This window comes from Homo sapiens, chromosome 2, assembly GCF_000001405.40.
Source record: "Homo sapiens chromosome 2, GRCh38.p14 Primary Assembly".
NCBI lineage: Eukaryota > Metazoa > Chordata > Mammalia > Primates > Hominidae > Homo > Homo sapiens.
The window spans coordinates 139,511,043-139,529,875 of record NC_000002.12 but is presented as its reverse complement, the minus strand read 5'-3'; the positions used below and the strand labels follow the sequence as shown (position 1 = coordinate 139,529,875).

General features: G+C 35.1%; 1 non-coding gene across 1 annotated transcript; it reads right to left on the bottom strand.

Annotated features, from left to right (window-relative positions):
- Positions 1-18,320: 18,320 nt before the first annotated feature.
- LOC124900519 (small nucleolar RNA SNORA72) lies at positions 18,321-18,452 on the bottom strand. The gene has a single exon (XR_007088710.1). It is a non-coding gene; the product is annotated as a small nucleolar RNA SNORA72 (small nucleolar RNA).
- Between the last annotated feature and the right edge of the window lie 381 nt (positions 18,453-18,833).

Genomic DNA, 18,833 nt, shown 5'->3' with positions numbered 1-18,833 from the left:
TAAAGCTAACATGTCATTCTCACTTCACTAAAACAACCTCTACTTCACAGATATGTAAAATTGCATTACCTGTTTTACCTGCTTGAGCTTCTGTGGGACACTTCAGAGGCTACTGTCCATTCCTAACACATCTCAATCAGACAGAGAGGCAGATTGTGGTCTGTCTCTGAGACCTCACTCTTGGATATGCCTATTATTGTTCAGAGAGTTTAATGGGTTTCCCCAAATCAAGATTTATTGATAAGATTCTAGGTGCTTCTAATATATGTTAAAAGGCATTGTGGCATGCATTGTAGTGACCTTGCGTTTAAAGAATTGCCTCAAGTAAAATGCAGACTGTGTAATGGATAAATCAGTCACTGTCTAGAGTCTTTGGAAAGTATGACTATCAATACAGCTGGAGCAATGAGTGAACTGGATTTGCTTTACATTCACACAGCCTCTCCAACAGTCTCCGTCTGTAGCTGATATTACAAAGCCAGTGTCTGAGACATCTTTGTTTTTATTGTGGCAATATATCTAAGCCTTCTCTTTATCTTAAGTAATCCACTACCCCTGAAATATGACACTGGGTCTCTGAAAGAAAAAAAACAACCTGATAAGATAACCACCTAGAGTGACATTTATATAATTGCCCAGTCAGAAATCATTTCCAGCTGCCTACGTGGAGCTTGCTTCACTGTTGTAGCTAGGAAACAGGGAAGGCAAATAGCTGCTTGTCTTTGGTGCCAACCTTCTGAACTAGTCATGCTTAAAGGAAAGCATTCCTGTACTCGCAGTTACACAGATTTGCCTCCTAAGGTCTCACTTTTTTTGAATGATAATTAGAGGGACCTGCCATTTGAAATCAAACTGTCCCGATGTAGATTCAACAAGAAAGTATCTTTATAATTAATAAAATTCCACATTTTTTCCTCCAATTTGTATATTATAGATGCCCTCAAACCCTCTATTTTAACTGAACTTTTAATCTCAAAATTCAGCTGGATTTACACTAGGGTGGCAGCTGATGTGTCCCTCTCTGCAGTCAGCAGGGATTTTCTGCATTTAGTAGGACTGGCCTAGAAGCTGTTGCCATAAATTCCCATCTGAAGATTTCAGGCAGTCTTTCTAGCCTCTCTCTCCAATTAATGGTCTCTTTGTTTATTGACTCCAGGCACCTCAAGACTTTACAGGTATCAAGAGTCTGCCTTAATGCTCTACTTTTAAACTAAGGTAACCAGTAAGGAAGAAAATTTACATGACATCGTAGGCATCTTCCAACAACTGTGTTTCTAATATTCTACCCAGTTCTCTCTGATTTTATACAATATAAAGCTTGGCCTTATTTATAAATTGTGTTGTTCTTGTCTCCTTAATATCCTTTGTTTCCATGGCTCTTACAGGAATCTAGGTCTACTTACCTCTCAGCATTTCCATTCCTGGAAGCCTTGGAGAAGAGCTTGCACATCTGTTATAGACTTTGATATACAAACCCCAGCCCCAAGCTATTTAGAAATTGGCCTGGGGCCTGGTGGTGTCAACTCAGAGCAAGGTTGACAGTACCTCCACTTTAAAAGTTGAAGTCTTGAAGAAAAGCCAGTCTCATTTGCTGCCATATAAATAATCTTTACTCTGTCAAACTAAAGGTCATTTAAATGGTGAATTACTCAGAGCACAGTTTCAAACTCTTGTGAGTTACATAGACTAACTTAGCCTTAAAGATTTGCACTTTGGGATAATACAAAAGTTTTGAGGGTCAGTTCAGATTTAATGTTTCCTTGATACTCGTTCCTCAAATCCTGTTTTTTGTCTGACAAAGCTCAAATTCATGAGACATACTATGCAGGAAATTCATAGTTATCACTTAGGAATAAGCACTGTTTGGGTATAAACTTCCATTAAATTTTATATATATCTGTGAACATACATCATAAAATTGAGGTTACAATGTGGAAATAATTATTTAATTTTTGAGACCATGATTTTAATGACTATACAGTATTTGATAACATAAACACATCTTAATTTAACTAGTCCTCAACTGATATTCATTTAGATTATTTTCACAAGTTTACTGTCAGAAATAAGACTGAAATGAACATCTTTATAAATAAATATGGGCTCGTGTGCCTGATTAGTTCCTTCTATTTAACATACATTCCTAGAAGTAACTCTTTGAACTCTTTATGTAACACCTCTGGAATTTAAAATTATATCTAAACAAAAACTTAAAAAATAATTTTTCACATTATATGTATATATGCACACAATTGCTTAGCTGGTTTTTTTTTTTTACATTTTTCTAATCTTTCTTTCAATGAATACACTTCATGTTCTACAAGAGTGCTTCTAGAAGAATTAAATGAGTAATACTACAGTTTGGCTGACAGGAAACATTCAGAAATATTTGAAGAATTATGAATGAATAAATGCATTAATAAATGACTTCTCTTCATGTTAACATGGCTGGAAATTCATACTATCTTGTATTTCTTTTTTTTCTGTCTACCACTGCTGATAACCACTGCATACCTCTTCTTTTACACATGAATAAGACATAAGGCCAATAACGGGAGGGCTGTTTTCTCTCTGCTCTCAATCAAATCCCCTACATGGTACTACTAACGGAATGTTAGTAATACAAAATTACTGCTCCTGAGGTACTACACTGCAGCTATTTTTGACCCCTCTGTTGGGACAAAATCTGGTGTCATTATGTTAGACATTCTCTGTCTACTCTATGTAGAGTTTCTATCTGAGAATGCCTCACGTTCATTTTATATTGAAAGGAATTTTAAATAGAACCTCTGACCTATTCTATATAAAAATGTTTTATTACAACCTTTATGATACTTTCAAAAGCTCTTTGGAAATCTAACATGTGAGTAGCCTATAAAATACTTACAGTTCCTTCTGCCAGTGTCAGATGAGAAACATAAGCTGTAGCTTTGGAAGCCAATGGAAAGCCTCATGACTTCAGAATCTGTCTTACTGGCCCTTGTATTGAAGCCCTTGAACTCTGACAGATATTTTATTTTTCCTCCTTATTCCTCTCTGAATCTAAGCTCTCAAGCCTATAGTCATTGTTTAGCTGCCTTTGCTTCTTTCTTTTGCTTTTCATTTACATGTTCATTGGAAGGTGGTTACATGAAAATTGATTCCTTATCTGGGAAAATGATAGTCTGTAGACATGTTTCCCTTCCTCTTCTTGCCTTTTTAGATGAGATCAGGATCTCAGATGCTCTGCTAAGACAGTTGTAAGTCATTGACTTATATTTAATTCTTCCTGTGGAAGAAAATATTCTTGCAAATTAACTTCCTTTATTTCTGAGTACCAGGCAGCAAGAGAAATCCATATAAGAATCTAATAATTAAATGAATTAGAATGCAGACCTGCCAAGAAATAGAAAAAGGGCATTCACAGAGATATGCTCTGACATATTTGAGGTGATTTTCTCCTTAAATTATAATTTTGTGTTAAATATGAGCATCTATTTTATTTCTCCTAAAATGAAGAAAGACAAAATTTTACCCTTCTTCCAGTAGGTTAATGGCCCCAAAATGATACCATGTAAAAAACCTGACTGAGGCACTTAACTTTTTTTCTTTTTAATACCTCCTGATATGGTTAGGCTTTGTGTCCCCACACAAATTTCATCTTGAATTGTAATCTCCCAGATGTTGAGAGGAGAACCTGGTGGGAGGTGATTGGATCATGTGGGTGGTTTCCTCCATGCTGTTCTCATAATAATGAGTTCTCACTAGATCTGGTGGTTTTATAAGTGTTTGGCAAGTTCCTCCTTCACTCACTCTTCTCTCTCTCCTGCTGCCACGTAAGATGTCCCTGCTTCACCTTCTGCCATAATTGTAAGTTTCTTGAGCCCTCCCCAGCCATAAAGAACTGTGAGTCAATTAAACCTCTTTCCTTTATAAATTACCCAGTCTTGGGTATTTCTTTATAGCAGTGTGAAAACGGAATAGTATGTCTTCTTTCCATTTTTATGAACAGATTGAGACTAAGAAGGAGATGTTCTGGATTCTACTCTCAATTAATTTGTAATTCACTGGATATGACCTTGGAAAAATTACTTAAATTCTTTCAGTCTTCATTTTTAATGCTGAAGCTTTTGATAACCTTTATTAAATATTTAACTTTTGATTTTAATGAAGCTTGATTTAATGTGATAGTATCTTTAGTAGATATCTATTTTTGTACCTGCCCAGATTTTATCCGTTCATCTGATAACTACATCAAATTTTCCTCTGGAGTACCACCCCTCACTTTACTTTTACCATGTTCAGTTGGGGATAGTTTACTCCACCCCTTTCTTCAGAGGTAGACATTTGACTGAGTAGCATATTTTTAGGTTCACACTGATTATTCAATGAGAGGTTTGAGATGCAATCAGAGTAAATGAGGAACAATAAGGTGTTGGCTGGGATTTCTGGGAAAAAATTCCTTGTCTTTACCTTGGGATTTGAGGCTGAGAATTCATGAAATAAATAGCGATTTTTGGACTGTGGTGGGGTGAGGACAGAGTTTCTAGGAACTGCTGCATGAAACCACAAAATGAACCCAATTAAATGGAAGAAAGACTCAAGAGAGACAAAACAAATCCTGATGTAATCAGTTGAGTTCCTATAATGCAGCCATGCCTAAAGATAGAATACTTGGTAACATCAGAATTATATAACCCAACAACTGGTGTGTGTGTGTGTGTGTGTGTGTGTGTGTGTGTGTGTGTGCATGTGTGCATACTAATGCCAGGGTATCAAGTTGAAATTGTTTTTTGTACAAATGAAAAAACAAATTACTACAAATGACTTAAATAACAGAGATAATTTATGGATTTATATAGATAAAAAGTACAAATATTAAAAGAGCATTAGATTTGTTTCACTTATGCAGCCTATAATGTCATTAATATTCACATTCTTTTGATTTCTGTAATCTGATTTCCATAACAAAAAGTTTCATATAAAAACTTGCTCCCTTATAGTACCAAGATGGCCAGTTGCAATCTGATTTACATATTTCCTTGTCCAAGGCAAGGACAGATCTTCCTTTTTCGTAAACCTGTTAGAAAAGTATTTTCCCTACAAAATGCTACATATTTACTAAATTCAGTGAAATGTTCATTTTTACATAATTTCTGTGGCCAGAGGATTTCCATAGCTGATGAGCTTAGAACCAGATTTCCTAAAGCAATAACTATGGCCTTGTGGCTTTAACAAGTCTGACCTCACCTACTCAGATACTGCAGTGAGTCAATCTCATCTACCTTCCATGAGGATAGCATAACAGGAAAGTGGTGAAGGTGATGTTGGGAGACAGCCACAATGTCTGCCACAGCCAGGTCAGTATAAAATTTTTGTCACTTACCTGTGACACTATTTTTCTAGTAGAGTATCTCATTTAATTTGCACTTCAGTTTACACAACACCTATTTGAAACCTGTAAATCAAACCTGGGGGAGAAACTGGAAACCACAGTTGCTTTATGTTCTTATTCCATCCTTCCTCTGACTTGAAGCTTCAGTAACCCCAGAAAATCTAAATGAGACAAGATGGGAGGACTGTTTACAGAAGAATGGTTTCTGGAAAGTGGATTGGAAACCAAATAAGACAAGAAAAGTTTGCCAAATCCAAAAGCTGAGGTCAATCGTTAGACCTGCTCTCTACCCTGTTTCTAAACCAGCCAAATCCTCTGATAGATCTTGAGAACTTCATCTCGGTTTCAGGTAGCCTCAAACCCTAGTAAGATTTAACAGTAAACCCTTTAATAGAGTTGCTACCCTTTGGCTTCAGACCCAAATCGTCTTCCACGACACTGCTATCGGGGTGTGGAGTGTCCATCCACCAGGGGACATATTCCACCAGCTGTAATGCTAACTTCCCTGGCCAGAGCAGGCTGGAACAAAGATGACAACCTAGCTAATGATAATGTGAACTAGGGGATAAAGACACTGAGGGTCTTCTGCTGTTAAACACTAGAGCTATAAAGTTACAACAAACAGAGATGCAGAGGAGCTGAAATCACAGTAGAACAGACATCACAAATGGTATGAAAGAAACTTATCTACAGAGAGCAGAATGGAGAATGAGCACACAGAAAAATAAGAAAGGATGTTGTGATTCTGGAGGGAGGATGATGGAGAAGGGCCTGTTTGCTGACTTTCTTCCTGTGAAATACAGTTGTACTAAGGTCTCTAAATTCTGACAGTACCTCCACCCTTACCCTATACATGTTTGCTAAAGCTCTTAAATGTAATTGAATGTTTTATTCTTTTAAGAGTGAATAATATTAATTTAGATAAGCCTCGAGAAGACATATACAAAAAATAAATATATAGGAGATTAATGTCTCTTGATACCTATTCTTAGACAGCCCTAAAGAAAAAAATTAATACTCACAGAATCATAAGGGCCCTAGCTGAGAGAAAGTCTTGAAGTCATAGAAATGATGGTCTGAAATAAACAAAAAACTACTATTTACTTTGCCCATAACATTTCATATGACCTTATTTAATCCTCATAACAACCACATGACATGTATATTATGATCCTCATTTTTTCATATGAGAAACTAAGACTCAAAGAGGCTTCATAACTTGCACAGAGGAAAGTGGCAAAGTAAAAATTTCTTCTATAACCTCAGAGGAAAAAGACTCTATACCTTTACACCATTTTTTTCTTTCTCCTTCCTCCTTTCATAATAAAGATTAGGAATCTTCATATATCAAAGTATTACTTTCAAGCCAGATACAATTTATGATTTTATTATTTGTACAGGAAATATGTAGCCAGAGGAAATAGCAAATGCAAAGACACATAGATGTGTGAAGGCCCAGTGTTTGAGAGAACTACATATAATTCCAGTTCTAGAATAGAAGGTTCAACATGAGGAGTGGTTGGTGGCTGATGAAGCTGCAGAAGTATAAAGGGGATCAGTTAATAGAGTCCCCTCTGAGGGATTCTAATTTTTTAGGTTTGCCTATCATAATACGAACTCTCTTAAAGAAGGGGAGTAGACAAAATGCCATCGAAGGCATCAGTATGTTGTTGCTGAGCTACAAAAACCACATAAAACATAAAGATGCACATACACAGAAAATGACAGATGAAGAAGCCTTGCATTGGAACTTTGAGACAAGAAGAAAAGGAATGCGGAATGATGCGACATTATCTCTACATGCTGAATTTTATTTTTAAACATATGGTATAGTTCTGCACAGGCATAATAATGCTGAAATCTCCACAACTAAATTCAGAGCTCTTTTGTTAAATATTTTGTACAATACCAATACGTTTCTTAACAAGTTCACAAAATGAAATTGCTGATGGAATAGGCAGGCATTGGCTTGATGAGCGCATAAAAACAAATTTTGCTCCTAAGACCCAGGTAACCTGGGCCTTCAATTCCCACTCAGTCTGCAAGCTGATTCTCTGGGTGCCACCTCTCTAGACACTTGCTGGTGTGTAGATGGATGGCGTTAATTTCAGATTGGGAGATCTCGTAATGCTGTCCTGAACCCTGCAAACAAGGTCGGACATTTGTAGAAGCTGTTGCCCTTCAGAGAAACATAGGCTTGTTTATTTTGTCTGTGAATTTTGTCTACAAATTACCTCAGAATAATTTTATGTGTGTCAGGGAACATAATAAATGTTTCCATGTTTACCTTTCCTATGGTTTTCAACAGGAAAAACAGAGGACTTCCTTGGTTTAATTAGAGAACACCTTGTCATCAGGCTAGAAAGCATCAGTTGTCTGGGGTATAGCTGAAAGGATGTATGTTTATGATAATTGGTAAAGGTGGGATTTAAACTCTTTAAGACCTTATCTAATGAAAATTGGGAGATGGACGACAGTCTTTCAACATCTCCTAGCTCCTTTTCACTCGTGATTACCCTGTGATGCTTCTCTCCTCCTCGTGTTTTTGTTCTTTTATGTAACTGAAGGATGACTGACCTTGGCATTATCATCATCTAATCAAATTCAACCAATATTTCCTCAGCAGTAGTTATGCACAAAACTGTGCAGGTACTGCAGAATAGGGTCACTGCCCTTAGAGAGCTTTTAATTTAGATGAGGAGACAAGGCATTTACAAAAGAAATAGTTTAATAACAATAATGTGAAAAGCTACTACTACAGAGCTGTTTGGTAGTTTGGTTCCTGCCCAGAGTTTACATGACATCCAAGAAGAAAGGTAATGTGGAGCAATCAAAATTTGTAACCAATATTATATCCCCTCATCCTCCCATTGTCACTAACATAATAAAGTCTGACAGATTGAAAATTCAGAAATGACTCCAAGGTATTAGGCTTGGGTGACAGTCAATGATTATATTCTTCACAAAGACAGAAGGAAAACAAAGGGAGCTATTTTTAAAGAGAAAATGCATCTAAAAAACTGCTTTGATGATGTTATTATCCTACTCAAAAAATGCCCATGACTTCCTGCTGGTGGCTTGTAGAGTTTGGTAGAGCAAAATGATTACCTTTAGCAGCCTTCATGCTAGGGATTGGTAACACAAGATGTAATAAACTGGACTCTCTGCCACTGAACTCAGTGTAAATAGAGAGTCATGGAAGTGGGTAAACACCTTGAGAAAAAGAAGGCTGTGAATCAAGTTAAGCAGAATTATCAGAAAGCACACACACCAGCCTTCTGGAATACCATTATTGGGGAAAAGTCACAGAAATGAAAGCAGTAATAGTAGGTATGCGTGACCCTGGCTCTTTGCAGTCTGTGGCAGCATATAAAGATATATTAGACTTCTAGAGAGGAACCTGACCCTTGGCCTGGGGGCTTCTAAGCTCCTTGACTGGGGAGGTACCCATCTTTCATGGCATTATTAGGAACTGAGATTCAATACTGGTATGATATCGCAGAACCTAGGCTCAAATGTAGTCCAACATCTAAGCACTCATTGGTTGAGAGAGCACCAGTCTCCCTCCCCTGGAGCAATCAGGAAACTAGGTCCAAGCCTTGAGACTACAGCTGTAAGGCTAGTGGAGTGCTGATCTATCACTCCAGTATTTGTGGTTGTAGGAGTCTTATCCCCACCACCAGCACGATCAAGGTGTGGGGCACAAGTCCACTAGTTACAGTTATGCATCCTGGCAGAACCTTGCCCTGAACTGACATTGTAGCACTGCCAAGATTGATTGCCTTAAGCATTCAGTGTACCAGTTTCTATGAAGCTTTGCTGCAGCCAGTCTGGAAAGAATGTCTTGCAATAGTTAGCCCTAATCTTCAAATGTTAAGAAGCAAAATTGGATTTGGGAAATTCTAAATTTAGGGGTCAGGAGAAGGGAGAACCACCTAAAGAGACAGAAAGAGTATCCAAAGAAGTATAAGGTGAACAAGAGTATTCCGGGCAACAGAGGCAAAAAGAGAAATGAATTTCAAGTAAAGAAGGACATTTACTTTGCTCAGTGCTAGTGAGGCTATAGGGAGAATGAAGCATAAACAAAAGATGTAAGATTTAAAAAGAAAGGGGTATATTAATGAGCATGTTTCAGTAGTGTTACACAGTTAGAAACTAGATTAAAAGTTGTTAAGAAATGAAGAGTGATAAGAAAAGATGGAAACAGGGGCAGGGAGAAGAAGGCAATAGTTTGAGATAGGAAGAGGCAGCGGCAAAAATCTTTCTTATATCTACACAGAGATAACCTGAGCTCTTGTGAGAGGGTCTATTGAGGATGGAGAAAGTTAAGCTGGTTAGAAAGAAATTGTGATCTCTGACAAATGCTTTTTAGTTCTCATGGGTTAACATATACCAAAATTAAAGGAGATCAATGAGGTCTTAAATAAGGTGATTGCTTTCATTTGATTAAGACCAATTTTGTGATTCTTTACTCCAGCTTATGAGAATAGTGCTAGCAGTGGTTTTTCAATCACCAAGGCTAGCTAAGAGAATTGTATTCTGGCTAGGATACTTTTTCATGATCCTTCACATGTCATCTTCAATCTACTCCTTTATTACTTATCAAACAGCTCTACCTATACAAAATAGCATAAGCACATGTTTTTCCCCTCCCCTAGAAATTTCCATCAAAATAAATATGGCCAAAATCAGGGGTGGAGAAACCACATGGGAATTTTCCTCTTGTCCTGAAAAATTATATTTTTAACTTCTATTTGTTACAAAGGCAAGAACTAGGAACAAGTGGATTGAAACATTTACTTTTCCTTGCTGGAGACTCAGCACCCTATAAATGTAATTTTACATTTTTAGTATTTTTTGAAATGTAATATTCAGTCAATAAATAAAGAAACTGAGGCACAGGAAACTTAAAAACATTTTTAGGATCACAAGAAAGGTGAATAAACATACCAGCTGTAAACAGCCAGGTGTCTCTGATTATTTTCATTTAGTTTTCTACTACACTTTTCTGTTGATATTGTACAGATGAAAGTAGAGTAGCTTGTTCTGAAGACACAAAACCATCTTCTATTAGTCCGTTCTTATGCTGCTATAAAGAACTGCCTGAGACTGAGTAATTTATAAAGAAAAGAGGCTTAATTTACTCACAGTTCCGCATGGCTGGGGAGGCCTCAGGAAACAATCATGGCAGAAGGGGAAGCAAATATGGCCTTCTTCACATGGTGGCAGGAAGGAGAAGTGCGAAGCAAAAGGGTGAAAAGCCCCTTATAAAACAATCAGATCTCATGAGAACTATCAGGAGAATAGCATGGAGGTAACTGCTCCCATGATTCAATTACCTCCCACTGGGTCCCTCCCATGACTCGTGGGGAATACGGGAACTACAATTCAAGATGAGATTTGGGTGGGGACACAGCCAAACCATGTCACATCTTATCCCAAAGTTGAGCTTGAGCTTTCCATGTTGTTGGATTTTTTTCTGTTCTGGATATTTTTACTATTTTGAGGCTTGATGGCCTTCTTTAAGATATGTCTAAGCAATACCATAACATAGGCTATTGTCAGCCAAGGTCATTTGAGTTACAATGTCAGTCAAAATTATAGCCTGGTATCTTGTAGAGTCATTTAACCAGTTGAATAACTGTTTTTTGTTCCCTTTACTTTTCAATTCATCAACCAGAAACATATCCCTACAACATACACCTTTACATATCATACCATACAGAAGATATTTACTAAATTACATCATATTAAGCAAAAGAGTTAAAGCTTTTTCCTGCTTCCCAATTCAGATGCTTTGTTACATCATTGAAAGTTTCTCAGCATGTATCAAAGCCACAGATCTTCTTTAGTTTGTATTTGAGATTCAGGCGATGTTAGCTAGAGCCAGTAATAATTACATTCCGAGAACAGGCATATGGTCTAATTCACACTATCATTTTTTCTCACAATTGAAAGATGCCAGTTTTTAAAAATACATGATTATTCCGCCTATAGTGGTCTGCCTTGCCAATTTGTGGGTCACAGACTCCCGTACGCTAAAGCTGGAACTCATAAATGCTTTATGGAATATCCTTTCAGTAGTAGAGATGGAGATTGCAGGGGCCAGATGGGACAATATTCATGGCAAAGCATGAGACTAGAAAGATCATTTACTCTTTTTTTTGTCCTGTTGCTCTAAAGATCTTTTTCCTACAACCATTAAAAGCACCAAAAATAAAGAGGTATTGTTCCAAAGAGTCCACTTGCAGTAATTTTTTAAAAGAAAAATGTTTATATTACAAGGAGAATCGTGATATGAAAAATTCAGACATCTGTTCTCTTCAGCTGACTACCGTATCCTGCTGATTCTACCTCAAAAATACTTCACCAGTTGTCCTGCGAATATAGGCCCTCAACACTTTCTACTTGGATTATTGCAATGGTTTATTACTTGTGCACCCCAGGCTTGCCTCTGCACATGTATGACAGGATATTTATCTGTCATACATGACAGATACACTGAATTTATCCACCTGTATATAACATATAATATATTTTACTTCCATGTCACTTTTAATTTTGTCTTTCTTCTGCCTGCACATAAATTCCATGAAGGCAGATGTCATTTTGTTCACTGGTGTTTCCCCATCTTCCAGAATGATGCCTTCTAATCACTATATCCTAGAGGACAAATAAAAAAATGTGTCATGTATTCATACCCAATTCCTCTCAGTAAATATTTTCTGAATAATTTAAAATTGTAGAGAATATATATCTTAGAATTATATAGAATATATATCTTAGATTGCAGGGAAGTTTCCTAAGAATTGAGTAATTAATATTCTTTTATCACTTTTCTGCCATTACCTTCCTTCACTCTGCTCATTGGAGTAGAGACAGATGGCTTGAGATGAAGCAGTTACTGAGGACCATGAGACAAAACTCATTTGTAAGAATGGTGAAGTAACGAAATCTACAAAGTCAAGATACCATGTCTCATTACGAGATAAAATAAAACTTCTATCTTATTTAAACCACTATTATTTTTGGGTTTCTCTTACAACTGAATTTATCTTTATGGATGGAAATATAATGTAATATATAAATTATTTGGAATGACATGTCCTATCCAAATTCCTGGCATTTTTTAATCCTCTGTCCACTGTCATATTTAATTTTATAGCTGTGGTTGCAAACAAGAGGCTCAAAGAGATTTAAATGGCACAAGGACATAGATTTTTGGCCAGTAAGAATTCAAACACTTATTTTTCCAACATTAAAAGTCATGAATTACACATAAAATCTAGCATTTGGGAGTCCAAATGCATCATAATAACAGAGCTGAGTTCAGATGAGGCAGATGTTCTACATTTCATCACAGTCTTTACACCTTCCACTAATCCTCATTAATCACCATACCTAGCCTGTTTCACACACTTACATTACTTACTGGATGTATTATGGAAAACACCACATATAAGAAGTTCTCCTTTGTTCTTTCTTCTATTCAATCAATGCTTTTGAACTACAGTACTCCCATTCTAAATAATGGGAATATGGTGGTTACAGGGACTACCAAAGTCGTTACATTTTAGAAACAGAAGACAGACAATAACCAAGTAAACAGAAATGCAAATGGATATTTTCTGACAGTTCTAAGTATAATGGAGATAATGAAAAAAACATGTGGAGAGAGAGACAGTGACTAATGTTAGGGAATGGGATCCCGTGGACTAGATTATCAGGAGAACCTCTTTGAGGAGAGGCCATTTGAATTGAGACCTGAGTGACAACCAGGAGTCAGTTATTCAAGGTCTAGACGAAGACAATTTTAGCTGGATGGAATGGCACCTAAAAATAACCTAAAATAAAAATGAGAAAAAATAAACTTTCTCAGACAGAAAAATAATTTCTGGTACATCATACTTTACAAGGTGTTGTGATCCATAGCTATCTAGGAATTCTCCCAATTTTCCTGGGACTATAAAAATGACAAAAAGACATCCTCTTCTCGGTCATAGATAGTGGCTGAAGCCTATAATTCCAGACTGTTAGAGATTGAGGCTGCCGGATCACTTGAGGCTGGACAACATGGCAAAACCCCGTCTCTACTCAAAATACAAAAATTAGCTGGAAATGTTGGAGCGCACCTGTAATCCCAGCTACTCGGGAGGCTGAGGCATGAAAATCACTTGAACTCGGGAGGCAGAGGTTGCAGTGAGCAGAGATTGCACCACTGCACTCCAGCCTGGGTGACAGAGTGAGACTCCGTCTCACTAAAAAAAAAAAAAAAAAAAAAAAAAAAAAAAAAAGAAATCCTCTTTTCTCTATTTAAAACTTTCAATTTCTAAAAAAAATTAAAAGGCTGATTGTTGCTCAGTAATCCCAAAGCCTGATTAAATATGTTAAGCTTAACAAATAGAGGGTAATGGTGTCCATAAAATGTTAATTGTATAAACACAACAGACTGCTAGGTATACATATGCTTCTGTCCAGTCTTCTACTTTTCCATTTTGTTTTATTCAAAATATGCTGAAAGTTATTAGTTCATGAATCTCAAGAAGCAGACTGATGCTCATCTCTTAATCAAGCAAATGTTTAAAATATAAATTCCATTTAAATATCAGTGTAAAAACTGAAAGCCTTAGTTGACTAATGATATACCAACAGCTTTGTGAGGAAAACTAAGCAGTCTATGATTATCATATAATCACAAACACACACACACTCAGAAACACACATAAGTACATTTTCTTTTAAAACTCAAGTTCACTTAGATTGGTGGAAAAGCTCCTTTCTTAAACAGCAATTTAAAAGTATTAAGTATTAGCATTTTTTCAACAACTCAATAAATTTATCTTGACTTTTTACAACTGAAAGAAATGTTGAGTTAAAAAAATTAAACCTTGGCACGCACCTTGGGTGGGGAGTGCATATGTATACAAACAGCCATTCTTAATTAAGGAAACACCATATCACAAACAATCAGAGCTGAGCTCTTTGAAACGTTCCCTCCTATGCCAGCATAATATTCAACCACCATCAAATTTTCTGCATTCTGCATAATGTGCTGGTAATTAACCTCATAAACTTATTTTGTGAACAACTCTCATAGTTGATAAATGTAGGTAAGGGCAAAACTCAGCAAGGTTATTGAATAACAATCAGTGCGTCCAGAATGAAAAATAACCCGCCTTCTTCTGAAATAAGATATGAATAGACTTTACCCTAGTAATTGATATTGCTGCATTTTGCATGAAGATGGGGTATTTTTCATTTAAAGCACATGTGTTAATTTTCCTTCATAGATAAGCCAAAAACCTTGACTCTGTCATCAGACCTTTGGCATCTCCTTCTGTTTCAGTCTTGGGACTCTGCCAATACACAGCTATTCTGTATTTGAACTTCCATGCTGGGGCTGGGGCATAGATAGTCGCCAGAATTCACTTTGTTTTCAACCAGATTCAGATTAAAAGAAGTCACATAAAAACCAAATGCTACTCCTATTAACCAAGCATATGCCAAACATTCGTCTGAAAGACAAGGAACCCTAAAAATCAGCATTAACGAAAGCTAAAGATAAAAGCTATTATAGGAGAATGATGATTGGGACCAAGCAGTGCCAGGTGATGACATTTTGCAACAATCTTCCAAAGTCACAGTGATGTGAAATCTTCAAATAACTCCGAAAAATTAATTAAGAGACTTGCATTCCAGTCCAGCTCTGCACCTGCCTGGTGGTAAGACCTTAAAATTCTCATTATGTATCTAAGAATCTTAATTTCTTTATCTGTACAAAGTGGAGATTGGCCTTGAATACTCCTTAGGCCCCATCCAAAACTAAAATTTGTATGACTTTGGAATGATTCAATTGTTTTCTTTTTTATTTGGAAAATATAAATCACATATTTCCTAAAGCAAGAAGCAATTGTTTATGTGAGTAACAGCTTTTATCATAGTTTCTGGTTTTAAAAATCTTTCAGTAGCTTGCCACTGTCCATATAACAAAGGTATTATCATGGGTCATGTGACCCTACAGAATCACATCTCTGTATTTTATACTCATCTCCCACTTATTGCTATAAATCTTCATTTTAAATTACAGGATAACTAACTATGTGTAGTTTTCTGAATATGCAATTCTATTTCACTCTATTGCCAATACTCTTTTTTTACCACCCCCATTTATCCAGTTAATTTCTGTTTGTAATCAAAAGCCCCATTCAAGCAAGACTGCTTCCCTAAAGACTATGTTGTGCCAAACAGTTAATCCCTTCCTTTTCTGTACTATCCTTTTGCCACATACCTCTTTTCTGTCATTTACATTTATGAGCTATCATATTCAATTCAACATAAAACAAAGCTTATATTATGTTCTTCCTTGCATTACCTAGCACTATGCCTTATAGGTGGGAAATACTCAGTATGTATGGATAAAATTAAAATCCTTGATCTTTTGATTTTGAATGATCCTTTGTTACATGTGCTGATTTAGTTCCATTTACCTTAATAAGCTTGTATGAGAATATACTTAGGACTTGTATTGGTCAGTTTAGTAAAACATTTTAAAACAGTCAATTACTGTTTGATTGTACAGTATCAGTCATTAGAGTAAAAATTGCAACACTTGTAGGAATATGTCTGTACTATAATAGGAAGATATCAAATATTTCTTCTGTAGTTTTAAAGTGTAAATAAATATCAAAAATTCTTAACACATGGCCAGTATTTATAAAGACAATCAAATATTTTAACGAGACAGTTGAAAAAATTGTAAGCTATGCTTCTAAATAGCAGGTCAGTAGTTTTACATCCCATAATTTGTGGAAATCCAAAATGTTGGCTAATGATTAACATGACCAGTTACATTTCAAGATTTCTCTTGGTTTATTCCATTTTCTCTGAGAACAAATCCAATTTCTCAGGAAAACAAAGATTGTTTACGTTTTAAAAAATATGTCCTCCTTATAGATACATACATAGATAATAGAAATGTGTATGTCTACATAGTATATATGTTTTAAATATTAATGCTCAGTTGCTAAACATAGAGGTGCCATTTGTTGGTAAATGTGCTATAATATGAAATGAGCCAGGCCCCAAAAGAAATGAAATGAAATGAGCCAGGCCCCGAAAGAAAAATACTGCATGATTTAACTTATATATGGAATCTCTATAATTTGCATACATAGAAACAGAGTTGGATAGTGTCTATCAGGGGAGGGGAGAAAGTGGAAATAGGAAGTAAGTCAAAAAGTACAAACTTGCAGCCATGTAGGATGAATACATCTAGAAATGTGATGTGCAGCATGAGGAATATAGCTAATAATATTGCATTATATATTGAAATTTGTGACAACTGTAGATTTCAGGTGCTCTCATCACAGAAAAAGGTAATGAAAGGTGATGGATATGTTAATTTGCTTGACTATAGTAATCATTTTATAATATATGTATATCAATACGACTTGTAAACCTTAAATTTATATAATAAAAATAAATTTAAAATGAAAAATCTTTAGATTTGTAATAATGGTTATTGTAAGTCATTTAAAATTTAATATAAAAAATTCAATGTGTAATAAATAATGACCTAGAACATGCTGTAGAAAAAAGAAAGTGCCAAGTTCAAAAACACTGATACATAATCTTTGAAAGTACAGCAATTAAAAGTATGCCTTGGACATGGTTGATATTCAACATATATTTTTGAAATAAAAAAAGACTATCACAAATGATTGCTATTGTGATGTGACTTTTTGATTTTGTTTACTTTTATCCATTTAATTTTTACTTTTACTCTATTTTCCCACTTAAAAAAAATGCCCAGGATCAAATCTTACTCTCTCACAGACACAGATACAATAATTTCAGATAAAGTGAAAGAAGTGATGATATTGAAAGAGTAACAAATATTTATTTTTTAATTTTATATTAAAGATAAACTAAAAATACCTGATTACACTCTCTTTTGTGACCATTTTTTTCATTGTTGTGCTTTGTGTGTGTGTGCATATATATATAGTATATATATATGTATAAAAATATATATAGTATATATTTTCTAAGATAACCAATATTATTCTGAGCAATTAACTCCCTAATGTCTTAATTAATATCAAATGTCTCTTAAACATTCATTTTAACATGTTGCTGAGACAGACATCCATTATTTGTTATTTTATTTTTTATCTAAGAAATTGCAGGTCATCACAAGAAACATATATATATACATATATATATGATACTTAAAAAACGTTGGTTCAGTGTCAGAATGGATGGATGAATGGATAGAGGAGGGGATGGATGGTTGCCTGATTCAATGAATAATAGGGAAATGAATAACTGCTTATATAACTAAGGCAAAGGGGTCCTCTAGGGAGTAGCTGATAAGTTGATGACATATATATAGCATCTAGAGTATGTTTGTTCACAGTATTTCAGGATTAATTTTTATTTTTTCAATCTTTTTCACATTGTCTCATATTAGCCAAGCTCATAGAACTGATGTAAAATTGAATGCTAATTTAATAAATTACAAAAAGAAATATAACTGCTAGGTAGACAATACTTATAGTTTTACTGGCCAACTTATTTACTTTGCAAGAAATTACTTGGAAAGTCAAAATATAAAGACAATGTTGCTAATGAAATATAAATTAGTACAAGGGGTGTTAAGGTAAATGATTATAATGTTAAACCATGTCATGTCCAGTGAATACTTCAAAATTGGTATTGCCAAATTTGGCTTCTGTTGAGAATGTATTTTCTAGGATAACCAATATTATTCTGAGCAATTAACTTCCTAATTTCTTAATTAGTATCAACTGTCTCTTAAACATTCATTTTAACATGTTGCTAAGACAGACATTCATTATTTGTTATTTTATTTTTTATCTAAGATATTGCATGTCATCACAAGAAACATTTTAAAAATATGATAACTTATTTTTTCTTTTGTCTGGTTTATCACCAGCATTTATAAGACCAGAGCTAGGGAATGGGCTACATCTGGGTACACATGCATGGTCTTAATGTAGCAAATGTTTAGCCTGTCCTGGCTCTCACATAATCAGAACACAGAGAATATTCACAGAAAATATGATAACTCTTTGAATGTTAGAAAAACAACTAAACATTTATTGATACAAGATAGTATACTAATGTCAGAAGAAATGCTTAATTCAATTGGTGGGAAAGAATATCAATAAAAATAATTATTTGGTATCACCTAAATTAAGATACATCAATTTCACTAATGCTTTGTGAAGAAGAGTTTATAACCAGGATAAATTCTAGACAATTTTTGTTCTTTAGATTCATGATAAAAATAATAACAATTATACTGAAGTGAATAATGTAAATGATATCTTTAAAACTGTCACTTAGAATTGTTCTGGCAATATGACAACCTTGATGTTCTGAAAAACTATGCAGTATTAAACACCTAGGAATGCTGGATAAACTATATCTTTAA